General features: G+C 59.0%; 1 protein-coding gene across 3 annotated transcripts in view, besides 1 other annotated feature; it reads right to left on the bottom strand.

Annotated features, from left to right (window-relative positions):
* Positions 1 to 15087, bottom strand: part of NCOR2 (nuclear receptor corepressor 2) — a 243198-nt gene that overhangs the window by 30707 nt on the left and 197404 nt on the right. For 2 of the 3 annotated variants that reach the window (NM_001077261.4, NM_001206654.2), the window contains exons 22-25: positions 8558 to 8678; positions 7005 to 7176; positions 1521 to 1685; positions 311 to 450 (exon numbers count right to left, since the gene is read on the bottom strand). In NM_001077261.4, coding sequence (NP_001070729.2) covers positions 311 to 450; positions 1521 to 1685; positions 7005 to 7176; positions 8558 to 8678 — 598 coding nt within the window. The remainder of the gene's footprint in view (positions 1 to 310; positions 451 to 1520; positions 1686 to 7004; positions 7177 to 8557; positions 8679 to 15087) is intronic. The other variant, NM_006312.6, reaches the window with a different exon arrangement.
* Positions 13964 to 14465: an enhancer, noted in NCBI's record as "H3K27ac-H3K4me1 hESC enhancer chr12:124853631-124854132 (GRCh37/hg19 assembly coordinates)". NCBI's record gives its function as "activates a minimal SCP1, AML or CMV promoter by ChIP-STARR-seq in primed H9 embryonic stem cells {active_cell/tissue: H9 hESC(primed)}" and the evidence as "EXISTENCE:reporter gene assay evidence [ECO:0000049][PMID:30033119]".

Here is a 15087-nt window from a genome sequence, read left to right on the forward strand (position 1 = left end):
CCATGCCCTCTGAGCCCCTTGCATTTGCCCTTCCATTTCGCAGTGGGGGAAACAGGAGGTTAAGTAACTTGCCTGAGGCCACACAGCCTGGTTCCTGAGCCATGCCCTTGACTGCAATACAGAGTGACCCCCCAGGGACGAGGCCCTGAGTGCCTGGGGCAGGACCCAGCCAGCTCAGACCCCAGATGCCTGAGTGGAGATGACCCAGGCCCCCGAGAGCCTGGCCCCCACTCAGACTTCATTGGTCCCATTGCCCCCACTTTACAGATAAGAAGACTAAGCCCCCAAGAAAGGAAGGGCTACCACTCACTTGGGAGATGGCACCTATTTGCCTCTCGAGGACGCTGGGGTGCTTGGCAGAGGAGATGAGGGGAGGCGGGTTGGAGATGGTGGGTGGGCGCGGCAGGACGGGCCGGGCAGTGTCATGGAGGCCCAGGGGCAGTGGGTGACCTGTGGAGCACATGTCTGTCCATTGTGGGGCCCAGGAGCGGTCACGTCCCTGCCGGACACACACTCCAGGCTGCACTCCACCTCTTCCCTGTCCTGGCCAGGAAGTGCCCATCCATGCGCACTCCTCTATTGCCCTGCCTGGCTCTGTCCTCATTAGTGACCCGAGTCCTAGGTGCAGACACCACTATCCTGGGGAAGCCTCCCACCTCACCCACTGCCCAGGCCCTGATCCAAGCGCCCTCAACTCTCATCTGGATCCCCTGTCTCCCCATTTCCACTGTAGCCCCCAGTAGCCCCTTCCCCTTATAGGAACCAAAAGGACCTTTTTGGAAAAGTCTACTGGTGCACACCCTCCCTGTGCTGTGTGCCCTCGATGGCTCCCACTGTCCTCAGGAGAAAGTCTTAGCCCCCGACTTGGCCTTCAGGCTCGCCTGACCTGGCCCCTGGGTCTCCCCAGCTCACTGGGCACCGAGCTTCGGCAGTGGTGGCCAGATTCAGTTTCTCAAGCTTTGCCTGCTCTCTCCTGCCTCTGGGCTTTTGCACTTGCTGTTCCGTCTGCCTGGCATGACTTTCCCTGTTCTTCTGGCTCCCTTGGCCCACGCATCCCTCGGGACCAGCCTTTACCAACAGCAGTCTGTACCAGCCCCCGGCTGTGCTGCTTTACAGCTGGTGAGGCCCAGCAGGACTGCAGGACCTAGAACAGGGCCGAAATGCAGCCTCACAGAGTCTGTGAACCAAGGTAGCGCCTCTGCTCCCTCCCCAGGCTCTTCTACCATCTGCCCATTCTCTAGCTCTAAGCCGTCAACGGAAAACATAGCTCCCACTCTAAGCCTGCCCCTCACCAGCTCAAGCACCTGCTGTGGCTCCCTCTTGCCAGTGGCTTCCATCTCAACCCTGGGGCAGCTTTCTTAAAAGATCTCCCCCTTTCCCTCCACTGACCAGGCTGTTCCTCCAGCCAGGTCCCATAAGGCTTTAAGATGCTTCTGTGTGCAGCTCTGAGCCAGTGCAAACAGTGCAAACAGCGATTGTGCACTGGCTGAAGAAGCCCAAGCTCGGGCGGAGCTACTTACCAGGTGGAGCGTAGGAGAAGGCTGAGGGGTCCGGGGCATGCGGGGAGGCCTTGATCACCTCACGGGGGGGCACGGGGAAGGGCAGGCCGGAAGTCCAGCAAGGGGGGTCCCCAGGCAGCTTCTGGGCCTCGGCTGCGAAGGCTGGGAAGAACACAGGCTTCTCTGCTGAGGGCAGGAGGTGGGGCAGTCAGACCTCGGGAGCCCTGGCTGACCCTACACAAATGGCCTTCCTGCACCCACAGTAGTGGTGGCCTGTGACGGCCTGGGCTCCTCCGGGAAGCCCCCCAAGTCTGCCTGCCTGGGCGCTGCTCTGTAACCCCATGGTATTCTGCTCAGCAGGGGAGGGGATCTCAAGGTCTGAGCTGGGGGCTCTCAGCTGCCGCTGAGGACGAGAACGGGACCCTCTGGCTTTGCAACCCCACAAGCACTCAACCAAGCCCAGCAAGCCAAGGTCCCTGGACAGGCCTCTAAGCCAGGAGGTGGCAAATGGTATCTCAGAGGGTCTGTCTGCCCCCTAATTTTTTTGAGACAGGGTCTCCTTCTGTCACTCAGGCTGGGGTGCAGTGGTGCTGTCACGGCTTACAGCAGCCTTCACCTCTGGGCTCAAGTGATTCTCCCACCTCAGCCTCTCAAGTAGCTGGGAATACAGGCGCCCACCACCGCACCATGCCTGGCTAATTTGTTTTACTTTTGTAGAGATGGGGTCTTGCTATGTTGCCCCAGGCTTGTCTTGAACTCTTGGGTTCAAGGGATCTTCCCACTTCAGGCTCCCAAGTAGCTGGGACTACAAGCACGTGTCACCACACCATGCTTGGCTAGTTTATATTTTGTTTTTGTAGAGATGAGGTCTTGTTATGTGTGCCCAGGCTGGTCTTGAACTACTGGGCTCAAGAGATCCTCCCACCTTGGCCTCCAGAGTGCTGGAATTACAGGCGTGAGCCCCCACGCCTGGCCCCGCCGTCTGACTTTGTGAATACGCTTTTACTGGAGCGTGGCCACATCTGTGCATTTATGTATTGTCTATGGCAGAGCTGAATCCTTGCAACAGAGATTGTCTGGCCCACAAAGCCTAAAATGTTCACTCTCCGGCTCTTTGCAGGAAAAGCTTGCTGGCCTGTGCTCTACACAATGTTGAAGGAGGTAACCTGTGATGTGTGTGTGTGTGTGCGCGCACGCGCGTGCACGTGTATGTGCATGTGTGTGTGAGTGCATGGATGTGTGTGTGCGCCTGTACACAATGTTGAAGGAGGTAACCTGTGATATGTGTGTGTGCGTGCGCACGTGCGTGCATGTGTGTGTGAGTGCATGGATGTGTGTGTGCACCTGTACACAATGTTGAAGGAGGTAACCTGTGGTGTGTGTGTGTGCACACGTGCGTGCATGTGTGTGTGAGTGCATGGATGTGTGTGTGCCTGTACACAATGTTGAAGGAGGTAACCTGTGATGTGTGTGTGCGCGCGCGCACGTGCGTGCGTGTGAGTGCATGGATGTGTGTGTGTGCATGGATGTGTGTGTGTGCCTGTACACAATGTTGAAGGAGATAACCTGTGATGTGTGTGCGCGTGCATGTGCATGTGTGTGTGAGTGCATGGATGTGTGTATGTGCCTGTACACAATGTTGAAGGACGTAACCTGTGATGTGTGTATGTGCACGTGCACGTGTATGTGCGTGTGTGTGAGTGCATGGATGTGTGTGTGCCTGTACACAATGTTGAAGGAGGTAACCTGTGATGTGTGTGCACGTGCACGTGCATGTGTGTGCGAGTGCATGGATGTGTGTGCGCCTGTGTGTGTGTGTTGTGGCGGGCAGTGGGGGGTTATAAGCCCAGACCCTCCAAGTAACAACCACAGCGTCAGCCTCAGTTTGCTGAGTGGTACTCAGCACAGGCACTGTGCTCAGCATCCCACGGCCTCCATGAGCCTCCGGTTAAGCTCACACAGAGACTGCTGCCAGACACATTTTACAGAGGGGAAACTGAGGTACAGACACACCAATGGGCTCATCTGAGTTCACCAGCAAATACTTAGCCGAGTCAGGATCAGAAGCCCACTGAGCCAGTGCAAGCAGCGGTTGTGCGCTGGCTGGCTGAGAAGCCAAGCTCAGGCAGGGCTACTTACCAGGCGGAGTGTGCAAAGGGCATTACCGAGAGGTCATGCTCTCTCAGGGCTCCACGGCTGACAGCAATGTAAGCGTGTTCACTCATTTATTCTCACAGCACCCTACAAGGAACTGACTGACTGTCCCCATTTCACAGACGGGAAAATGGAAGCCGAGAGGTTAAGCCACCTGGTCAAAGGCCCCAGCTAGCAAGTGGCAGATAGCGGCTTCGAACCCAGGCACTGGGGCTGCAGACCATGGCCTTAATCCAGACTGCTATGCCACATGGCCTGCGGCAGAGAAGCAATGATGGGTCCTAGATTTCAGGCCTGGGGAGATCCTGTAAACTCAGCGGGGCCCCGGGGCTCAGGCCTGGCTTCATGGCATCTTCCTGCTGGCCTCTCGCCCTTTGCTGAAATCTGTCCTCAGCTCTGAACCTCTCCCTGAGGACCAATCCTATGGAGAGATAACCGGCCAAGAAGTTGAGCAGAGACACAACTTGGGAATGACGGAGCCCTCTGGGTTCTGGGACAGGAATGGCAGGCAGGTGTCATCTATCACGCCGCCTCCAGATGAACAAAGGAGGTTCTGAGGGCCCATCAGGGTGTGACAGCGGAGGAGAGTGCTAAGATCAATTAATGATGCCTGCTGTGAGCAGAGCAGGTGGGCAAGAAGGCCTATGTACCAAATTGCCCCCAATTCTCTCCTTGAAGACTGTTTCCCCTGGACTTGTGCCCTGGCGAGGTGGGCAGCCCACAGGAGGCAGGGGGCACAGATGCAGGGGAATTCTCATTCTTAACCAGTCCCCAGTGGAGGCACCTGTACAGGGCCTGCCTCACATCTGGAGATCCTGCAAACGCCCTGGACCTGGCCCCTCTGGCTACCCAGCCCTGTAAGCCTCTGGTGCTTCCTCCAGCCCAGTTCCAGAGAGTTGGGAGAGAGAGGAGGGGAGCTGTTCGATGCTGGAAGGCAAACTGGGGCTAGGCCAGGCTGGGCGGGCGGCCGAGAGCCTGGAGAGACAACCTGTTCCTCCAGTTGGGCCCAGGGGGCCCCGAGGGACCTGCTTGGCTGAGCCGCTCTGTGTGGGAGCCAGGGGCAGAATAGGCTGGCTTCCTGAGAGACCAGAGAGGTAGCGCTGGGTGTCAAGTTCATGTGTGTCCCTGCGGGAGCTGAGCTGCAAGCCAGGCTGTGCAAGAAAGGCATGCAGGGCCTAACGCCAGGTGCACCGTCCCCACGGGGAATGAGGCCAGGAAACGGCACAGGCCCTGGCCACACCAACGGGCTGAGTGCCAGCCGCGGGAACTGCTGGCCGGTGGCTCCCTTTCTCCCAGGACAGGGGCCTGCGACCTGGCTCAGCAGGACCTGGCTGGCACCGTGCAGTTCCAGCCCTGATCAGATCTGACGCTGGCCAAAGCTGCTGGGGCCCCTGACATGGATACACAGCTCCTTCCCGGGCTGGCGCCCCAAACCTGCAACGTCTCCCAGAGCCACACCCTGGGCCGCACACTGTACCCTGGCCCCAGGTAGCCCAGCCCTGGTCATGGGGCATCCCAGTTCCAGCGAGACATCCCTGGCGTCATCCCCACACCGGGTTCAACGCCCCACTGGCTTTGCCTCCAAAACAAACTCCCGATGCGCCCTTCCTTCCACCTCCACGGCCACCTGTGCGGTTCAGGCAGCCTCTGTCGCCTGCCAAGAGCTGCGCTGTGACCTCCCGCTGCTGCCCTTGACTCAACAACGGCCAGACAGAGCTTTCCAAGATACAAATCAGATAACAAGCACCTCCTTCCCCTTCCGCAACACACGCTCACTTCAAATCCCTCCAGCAGCCCCTGCCACACCTGAGACAAAATCCACTGCCCGCTGTGGCCTGAGAGGCCCCACACAATCCGGTCCCCACTTCCCTCACTGTCCACCCGCCCACCCTTCCCTGGCCACAACCACCCCCGGCGACTCCTCACACACCCCGAGCGTGTTTCCACACCAGGGCCTTTCCCTGTGCTGTTCCCTCTGCCCGCAATGCCCACCCAGAGAGCTCCCACTGCGGGGCTGCTTCCCACTCCACAGGGTCCTTCCCGGAGCCGCTCTTCACTCAACCCGTTTTGTTTCTCATGGTGGATGAACGACTCTAAAACCATCTTGCTTCGTTACGTGTTCCCTGGTTTAACATCCTCCTCACTCAAAACAACAGCAGCTCCCCAGAGCAGAGACTTCCTCTTCTCCCTACCTAATCCCCGCTCTGCCAGCATGGTGCCTGGGGCCTTGGGTTTTCAACAAATGTCCTGACCCAGCAGCCTCGGTGGACCCCGGAGGCAGAGGTTGCAGTGAGCGGAGATTGTGCCACTGCACTCCAACCTGGCGAGAGTGACACTCCGTCTCAAACAAAAAAAAAAAAAAAAAAAAGAGAAGGGGGATGTCACACCCAAGGCAGCGGGGAGGGGACAGCTGATGGTAGCTCCAGTCACCCGGATTTGTCCCTGGGCTGTGCTGGTCAGGAGGTCGGCCTGGTGTCCTGCTGCCCTCAGACCTTTGGAGCAGCCTGCCAGCAAGCGCCGGGGCTAGCCCAGGGTGGGGAACCTCTGGGGAAGCAGCCCCCAACACCTGCAAGGCACAACAGCACCTGCTGCGTGCCAGGCTGACCTGGAGAAGATGCCTCTTTGGGGACACAGGTTCAGAATTTCTTGGGCCTAGTGGGAAGTGGGGCAGAGATTGAAGATCCAGAGAACAAGCAATCACGCCCGCCTGTCTCCTGACCTTGAGCTTCACGTGATGACAGTGAGGTGTGCCCGGGGCAGTCCCTGTGACACAGCGGCTCGGGAGTCACCCCCAACCCTGGCTCCTGGTGAACCCAGAGACCTGGGCCTGGAGCAAGGTCAGGATGCCAGCTGGGGAGGGCAGCCCTTCCTGCCCAGGCCCCAGAGCTGCTGCCAGCCGGGTGCTGGGCCCCATCTGTGATTCCAGAAGCTCCTGCGTGGACTGATTCACACCGAATCAGAGGCTGGGCTGTAGACATGTTTTTGCGTGTTCACAATGCTTTTGAAAATTTTGAGAAGTTGCCAGTGTTGAGAAACCAGGGACCAGGGGGATTTCACATAAGATGGATTTCTGGCTTTGCTGGAAGAACCACCCCAGGCCTGATTTGCCACGGGGTGACTCTTGGCCAAGGCCAATACGTGCCCACTTTAGAGAAAACAAGAGTTCTCCAATTTGCCGCAGTCCCTACCATTCCCAACTGCCTCCCCCTGCTCAACTGTTCCATTCGTTTACTTTGCTTTCCCTGCCACTGTGGCCATGGGGTTTGCAGCAGCTGCTCTAGACACACAAACATCCCTTGCCCGTCAGTCCCCTGCTGCCCCAGCCCCACTCAGCCACTGGTGTGCACTCACCCTCCTTGTCGGCGGGGGGTGCCGGGCTCCTGCTCTTGCCCCGGGGGCTGCTGCCAGGCTGCTGAGGGGCGTCGCTCTCCGGCTGCAGGTTTTGCGGTGGCGGTGGGGCTGGGGGAGCTGGCTTGGTGGGAGCTGCGTCCTCCCGGGGGGGCTCATGGACTTTGGTGACCTGCTGAGGGAAGCAGGCAGAAGTGAGCATTCACAGAGGGTGTCTGAAAGTGACAGGGTCAGGGAGAGACATGCACGCGACCAGCCTGGAAACCAAGGCCCGGGAAAGCCAGCGACATGCTCAAGGTCCCAGGTGCGGCAAGAAAGGGAGGTCTTAGCACAGAGCACATGGGGAAGCCCACCTCCCAGAAAGCCTGGCCCAGCTGCCCGGTGGTGAACAGGGGGAGCTCACCTCCCCAGAAAGCCTGCCCCAGCTGCCCGGTGGTGAACAGGGGGAACCCACCTCCCCAGACAGCCTAGCCCAGCTGCCTGGTGATGGACAGGGGGAGCCCACCTCCCAAAAAGCCTGGCCCAGCTGCCTGGTGGTGAACAGGGGGACCCACCTCCCAGAACCTGGCCCAGCTGCCTGGTGATGGACAGGGGGAGCCCACCTCCCAAAAAGCCTGGCCCAGCTGCCTGGTGGTGCACAGGGGGAGCTCACCTCCTAAAAAGTCTGGCCCAGCTGCCTGGTGGTGAACAGGGGGACCCACCTCCCAGAACCTGGCCCAGCTGCCTGGTGATGGACAGGGGGAGTTCACCTCCTAAAAAGCCTGGTCCAGCTGCCTGGTAGTGAACAGGGGGAACCCACCTCCCCAGAAAGCCTAGCCCAGCTGCCTGGTGATGGACAGGGGGAGCCCACCTCCCAAAAAGCCTGGCCTAGCAGCCTGGTGGTGGACAGGAGGCTAGAGCCTGCTGTGACTCTCTCCTCCAGCTCCTTCTGTGGACCCAAATCCTCTGGGTCTCAGGGAAGCCAGGACTGAGCAACAGGATTCTGTGGGCCTCGGGGACTGGGCCGTGTAGCCTGACACGCCCTGAGCCCATCACTCAAAGTCCCAAGGGACCACCAGCCTGGTCAGCTCAGGGTCTTTTAGCCCGGAGCCCCCAGTTGCAACTGGGAAGGCCAGACTCACCTCCCTGGAGAAGGCACCTCCAAGGGCCCACGCACCCAGCTGAGAGAACCTTCCAGGAGGGTGTTCCCAGAGGGCCCCAGGATCAGAACTGGTAGGCCACCCTTCCCTGGCCAAGCTGTTGCTATAGCTGAGTGGGTGGGGGAAGCTCCTGCCTCCCCATGACCCAGTATCTAATCTGGGGGTTCAAGGGTGCTGCGGGGTGGAAGGGGGGAGGCCTTAGGCCGCCAGTTCCCGCCTTCACTGGGAGCCCCACCCGGTACGCCTGCCAGCTTCCCCAGCTGTTCCCACCTCAGCTCCACGGGGATTTCTCCAGGAAACAGAAGCGGATGAGCTAGGCTGCAGGTGCATGCTCCCGCCCGTGGGATTCTCTGTCTCAATGAATGGGAAAGTCAAGGTCAGGGTGGACTCTGTGGGGCTCTGGGGGTGGGCACTCACGATGGGGGGGATGGCAGCCGCTCGCTGCTTCAGCTGCTTCAGGTCCAGTGGCTTCTGGGGTGAGGCATTGGCCCGGGGGTCGCCAGTCGGGGTGAGGAGGCTGGGCCTTGGGGACAGCAGCCTGCGGGCACACGAGCACCATCAGCTGGGGGCCCACAGCCGGACTCTCCCAGGGTGGGGGGGCTGCCCGGTTTTGATGGCCTCTCCTGTCTCAAGCCCTGGGGACGAGGCTAAGGCCCTGAGACACGAGGCGACTGTGCAGCTCACCCAGATAATGTCAACGGTTTCTCTTGGGAAAACAGACCAAGATTTGGGGCCAGGGGAGGGGAGGCACGAGTGGGCGGGCAAGTGCCTCCTCACTCACTCCCCTGGTTCTTGCAGGCCCCATCAGGGGCCAAGCCAGCCTCCCACCCCAGCCTAGAGGCCAGCCGGGCAGTGCTAGAGGCCCAGGCTGGGATCAAACATCCCCAAAGACATCTCCAGGCAAGGAAAATCCCAGAGAAGCCCAGACCTGGGGCCCACACCACACGTGGCCCTTCCGAAGCTGCCAGAAAGCCAAAGAATCAGCCCGATTCAGGGACAGAGAAATGAAGAGATTCACCAAGAGATTCCTCATCACTCGAATCTGAGAGGCTCGGGTGCCAGGGCAAGACAGTGGGCATGGAGCCGAATGAGCTCCGGTTACCAGAGGCAGGAGTGGGGGAGCTGCACCCACTTCCTAGACTCTCTCCCACACACTATCCACGAAGGACGAGGACATGATAACAAGGGCCCAGGCCACAGACTTTGTGTGGAGGGGCAGGTAGGGCCTGCCCACTGTCTACTCATTAGCCACAGTCGCAGTCCCTTCCTCTGTCTGCTACTGAGATGCGCGACCAGAGGCCGACACAGGGTACACGGTGCCTGGCAGAGCGTGCATTGGGGTGTGGCTCCCAAGCTGTTCGGTGGGTGCCGTTTCCTTCAGGAAGCCTTCCAGGATTTCTAAGTCCCCAGCACCGGGTATAGCACCTGCCATAATCCCCATCTGGCTCCCCACTTGGCATGAGGTCTCCAAGGGCAGGAACTGGATCTGCTCCAGCCTGAGAACCCTTCACCTGCCCAGTGTGGCTGCCCGGGGCTGCCCAGTTCTTGACTCCCTCCTGCAACCTGCATTTGCTAGGCACAAAGCAGCCTAGCCTGCATTTGGATGTATGGAGGCAGCCCGGCCTGCATTTGGGGGTATGGAGGCAGCCCGGCCTGAGTTTGGGGGTATTTGGAGGCAGCCTGGACCGTGTTTGCGGGTATGGAGGTGGCCCGGCCTGCGTCTGCGGGTATGGAGGTGGCCCAGCCTATGTTTGGGGGTATGGAGGTGGCCTGGCCTGCGTTTGCAGGTATGGAGATGGCCCGGCCTACGTTTGGGGGTATGGAAGCAGCCCGGCCTGCATTTGGGTGTATTTGGAGGCGACGCAGAACCCAGTCTCTGTCCTAGGTCTTCCAAGCTAGTGAAATGACCACATGGCAGGCGTGAGGGCAGCAGCCACGGGCCTGGAATTCAGCCAGAGGGCAAAACTTCTGGGTGCCAGAAGCTGGCAGGTCCTGTCGGCACAGCCCCTACTCTGTGCTGTGACCACAGTGACGACGTCCTATGCAGACTATAAGTCACAGCCTACTGGCCTCGAGGTGAGAGCTGTGACAACAGGGACACAACTCACACCACCCCAGTCCCCAGCTGCCAGTGCTGGATGCCTGGCGCCCAGAGGCACCCATCTCCTTCCTGCAGATGAGCAGGGCCGATGCCCAGGGTGCTGAGGCCCCTGCCGGCAGTCCCCTCCTTCAATCTCTGCCATAGCAGGACCATGGGGCCACCGGCATGTGACCGGCCTGTTCTGCAGGTACCAGCCTGCTGTCTGCATCTGCCACACGCTCAGCTGAGCGGGGAGAGCAGACACAGACTCGGTGATGCCTGCTTAGGCTGCCCATGGCGCACAGACGGGGGCCAGACGAGGAAGGTCACCCTGACTTCTGCATGCACCTCCACCGCCCCCACCGCCAGCCCACTCTCCTCCCTCCCCTCCCTCCACCTGTCCAGACCCTGCTTGATCTCCCAGGACCACCTAAAGCCTCTCCTTTGGCCACTGCCATGCCTCACTCCCTGGACCTGGGCCCAGCTGTGCTCTCCCCGCCATCCTCAAGGTACAGACAAGGTACCCTGACCCAGGTCCAAACACAGATGGTATCACCTGTCCCAACATTCTCCACCTGCGGCTTCAACTGCCGCCACCCCTATGTCCCTCCCCACAGGTTTACCTACCACCATCCGTTTCAACCAGCTCGCACTTGCAAGCTGAAATTTAAAAGAGAATGCTGCAGCCACTTTGGAAAGCAGTCGGTGAGCCCTCATTGCCCTAAACCCAGCACTGCCACTCCTAGGCACACACCAGGCAAATGAGAGCAAATGTCTATGCAGAAACCTGCACGTGCCCACCACTGCAGCACCGCCCAGCGCACAACAGCCAGAAGGCAGAGACAACCCGACATCCACCAAGAGACGAATGAGGAGACAAAGCGTGCCCTGTCCGCACGATGGAACACATGGCCATCAAAAGGCATGAGGCTCTGACACGGGCTATGACGTGGGTGGACCCTGAAGACACGATGCGCGTGAAACAAGCTAGTCGCAGAAGGCCTCTAGTGTAGATTCCGTTTCTGTGAAAAGTCCAGAACGGGCCAATCCATCGGGGACAGAAAGGAGATGAGTGGGTGCCAGGGCTGGGAGGAGGGAGGATAGGGGTGACTAGTGATGGGCATAGGGTTTCTTTCTTAGTATAACACTGAATATACTAAGAAGAACTGAATGATACACGTTTTTTTTGAGACAGGGTCTTGCTATGTCACTCAGGCTGGAGTGCAGTGCTGTAATCTCACTGCAGCCTTGACCCCCTGGGCTCACGCAATCCTCCCACCTCAGCCTCCGGAATTGCTGAAGCTAAAGGCACACATCACCGTACCTGACTGATTTTTGCATTTTTTTCTTTTTTGTGGTAGAGCCAAGGTTTCTCTATGTTGCCCAAGCTGGTCTTGAACTCCTGGGCTCAAGCTATCCTCCTGCTTTAGCCACTCAAAGAGCTAGGATTGCAGGTGTGTGCCACTGTGCCTAGCCTAAATGATACGCTTTCAATGGTGAAATGTATGGTATATGAATGATATCTTAATAACGGTTACAAAATGAAATGAGGACCATACTATATGCTAGCCATAAAGGGTTCGACGTATCAGCTGTATTTTCTCTATGAACAGTAAAAATAATATTTTTATATGTGTGTACAAATAGAAAAATAAAATATAAATTTTAAGGTTGAAATGCAAACGTTTGTATATGTGTAAAGATAATTCTATAGAGATAAAAATATGACTTTATAACACACACAAAACATGAGGTGCCACTGTCCCATGCAGTCTGCCCGAGAGCTCGCGTTTTCTATGTGGGGCCTGAGTGCTCCCTGTGCCTTGGTTTCCCTGTGGCCCCTCACCTAGTAGGGTGTGGGCAGTCAGATTGGCAGGGGGTGAGCGGGGGCAGGGGCTGCTGCCCAGAAGCTCTCAGCAGGTACCCTCTGGGGGGCACACACAGAGGCCCAAACCCTTCTTGAGCCCCCAGAGCAAGTGGGGACTGTGGTCATGGAGGTACCACTTTATAGTTTACAAGAGGTCTTCTGATCCCAGCCAGAGCTCTCTCATGGGTAAAGAAGGCAGCAGCCAGCACAAGGGCTGGGTTCAAGTTCTCGAGGGGAACGAGAGTCCTAAGCCCCCAGAGGGAGCGGCCACCAATAGTGGAGGAGGAAGGTGGAAAACGCTCAGAGCTCAGGGCCCATCTGACCGCCCCTTGTCCCGTAGCCATGCTGGAGGAGCGCCACCTCCAGAAGCCCTCCTGGCTGGCTCTCCCCACCCTCCACTCTCCCTTCTTTGTTTTATTTTATTTATTTATTTATTTTTTTGGAGACAGAGTCTTGCTCTGTTGCCCAGGCTGGAGTGCAGTGGCACAATCTTGGCTCACTGCAAGCTCTGCTTCCTGGGCTCAAGTGATCCTCCTGCCTCAGTCTCCCTAGTAGCTGGGATTGCAGGCACACGCCACCATACCTGGCTAATTTTTTGGTATTTTAGCGGAGACAGGCTTTCACTATGTTGGTCAGGCTGGTCTCAAACTCTTGACCTCAAATGATCCACCCACCTTGGCTTCCCAAAGTGCTGGGATTACAGGCATGAGCCACCGCGACCGGCCTCTCTCCTTTGTTTTCTTGGAAGGCAGCCACTTCTATTTTCCTTTCTGGCGGCCTGGGTGGGGCGGGGACTCTCAGGGCCTGGCACAGAGTATGTGTCTGGGAGGGGCCCCACCCTGCCTACCCAGCCCTGCAGTTGCGAGCAAAGGCTCGGATCCCCTCTCTGACCATGTGACTTAGCCAACTGTGCCTCGGTTTCTCAATCTGGAGAGTGGAGACGAAAGCTTCAAGGGCTGTCCGTGGGTGGGCGTGGGGATGCTGGTGACCAGCACGTGGGGCCGAGTGGGTCGGGCCACCTTCTCCTCACTGTCATTTTCCTTCCCACTCATGAAGGCCGGTTGGGGGGCAGGGCACGAGAGGGGGAATAAGGGCCTGGGGACATTCATCGGAACATGCTGGGCCTGCAACAGTACATCCCCTCTCCACCCAGCCCTTGCCTCAGTTTCCCCATGGTCATCAAGCTGGGACAATCCTTGCCACCATCCTAGGGCTAGGAGGGAGAGGGAGGGCTGGTTTGTGAACAGGCATCCCTTGCCTCTCCAAGGCCCCAAGATAAAACCCTGACCCGTCACTTCCACCCGTGGGGCCTGCCCACCTCTCTGACCTCTCCGCCCTCTCTGCCCTGGGCTGCTCACTCCACTCTACACCCTGCTATAGGCCTCTCTGCTGTCCACTGGACATACGCTCATGCGGCCACAGGGCCTTTGCACTGGTGGTTCCCAGGGGGTCTGGCTTTCCCTCACACTAAGGCTCTCATTGCCCTCCAATGTCACCTCCCCAGAGGCCCTCCCTGCCTGACCAGCCCACTCTCCCCTGCTCCCCATGCCCCATCTGCCCATCACCCACTCATCCCGTAAACAATGGTTTCCTTCTCCATGCCCTCACTAGAATGTAAGTGCCTGGAGTCAGGGCCTTGTCTGTGCAGTTTCCAGCGCCCCCGGCGCCTGGCGCATGCTGGTGCCATCAGTCACTTGCAGAATAAAGTAACAAAGGTGAAATTGCTGTTATGATCTTCCAAAATGCCAGAGGGACAGCTGAAGGAGCTGCACTCCAGCCCCCTCTTGGGGTGACCTCTAGGGGGTGTCCCAAAGCAGATCCAAAGGAGGGCAGCTAATCTCTGAGCGCCCACTGTGGCCCGTCATTAACTGAGTTATTCTTGCAATAAGCCATCCACGCCCACCTTACAGATGAGAAAACTGAGGCTTGGGGGAGGGGACTCCCAAGGCCAGGCCCTGCCAAAAAAGCACCCAGGCACCTTCTCTGAAGAGTAAGAGAGGGGAAGGCAGGCAGGCTCGGGGTTTTGCAATTGAAGCCACTATCTCTGGTCGTCTGCCAAGAAAACACCCAGGCAGAGCCACCTCGAAGAAAGTGCCAGCGGGCCGAAGGAGAATGTGATTTTCTCTCTCCCAAAGTCACCGGGGCGGGGGGCCAGATGAGAGTCATCTTGCGTCCATCCAGGAACACAGAGCTCCCCCACTGGGGCTGCCAGGCAGGAGGGATGATACTGGGCGGGCAGCCAGGAGCAGGGGTCGCCTGGGGGGCCCGCCCGTCCCACCAGCCCTTCCCGGGAGGCCCTGGCTGCCAGGGCCTACTCTGACGCATCTCGTCCGCGTCCTCCAGCGTCCGCCCGGCCCTGCGCAGTCGTGGCCGGCAGAGGGAGGGGTGGCGGGCTGCCGGCCAGGACGAGGTCAGCAGGCTGGCCAGAGTCCAGCCTCGTTCACTGAGAGGGCAAAGCAGGCCCCAAGGGCGGGGGCCTGGGCCTAGTCGCACAGGGCGGGACAAACCAGGTGTCCTGACTCCCAGCCGAGGACTCCTGCACCCGGGGGCTGTGTGCTGGACACTGGGCAAGGGGTGGACGTACGCCAGGCCCAGCTCGGGGAGGGAGGACACGGCCCTGGGCGGGGCTGCAGGGGAGAGGACGGGAGGCTGCAAGTGCCCTGCGGGGCCTCAGGCCTAGCCTGAGTGTTCTGGGGACGGACAGGATGCAAGCTGATCCCCCGGCTCCCCAGTCCGGGGCCAGCCACATGGACCCAAAATACAGACTCTGGGAGGCAGCTTATCAATGGGGCTGCCCCATGACCTCAGCGGTCCCCCGGCGAAGGCAGAAACATGTGTTTCTATGACTCTGTCCCCACAGCCAGCAGGAGCGGGGCGGGGAGCCGTCTGCCCTGACCCCGCTATCCAGGCACAATGGCCCTGGCTGCCTGCCTCCAGGGCAGACCCAGCCACACCATGAACACTGTTTTCCAAGCTGGGACTGTCGGGCAAGAAGCTCAG

The sequence above is a fragment of the Homo sapiens genome, chromosome 12 (genome assembly GCF_000001405.40).
Source record: "Homo sapiens chromosome 12, GRCh38.p14 Primary Assembly".
Lineage (NCBI taxonomy): Eukaryota > Metazoa > Chordata > Mammalia > Primates > Hominidae > Homo > Homo sapiens.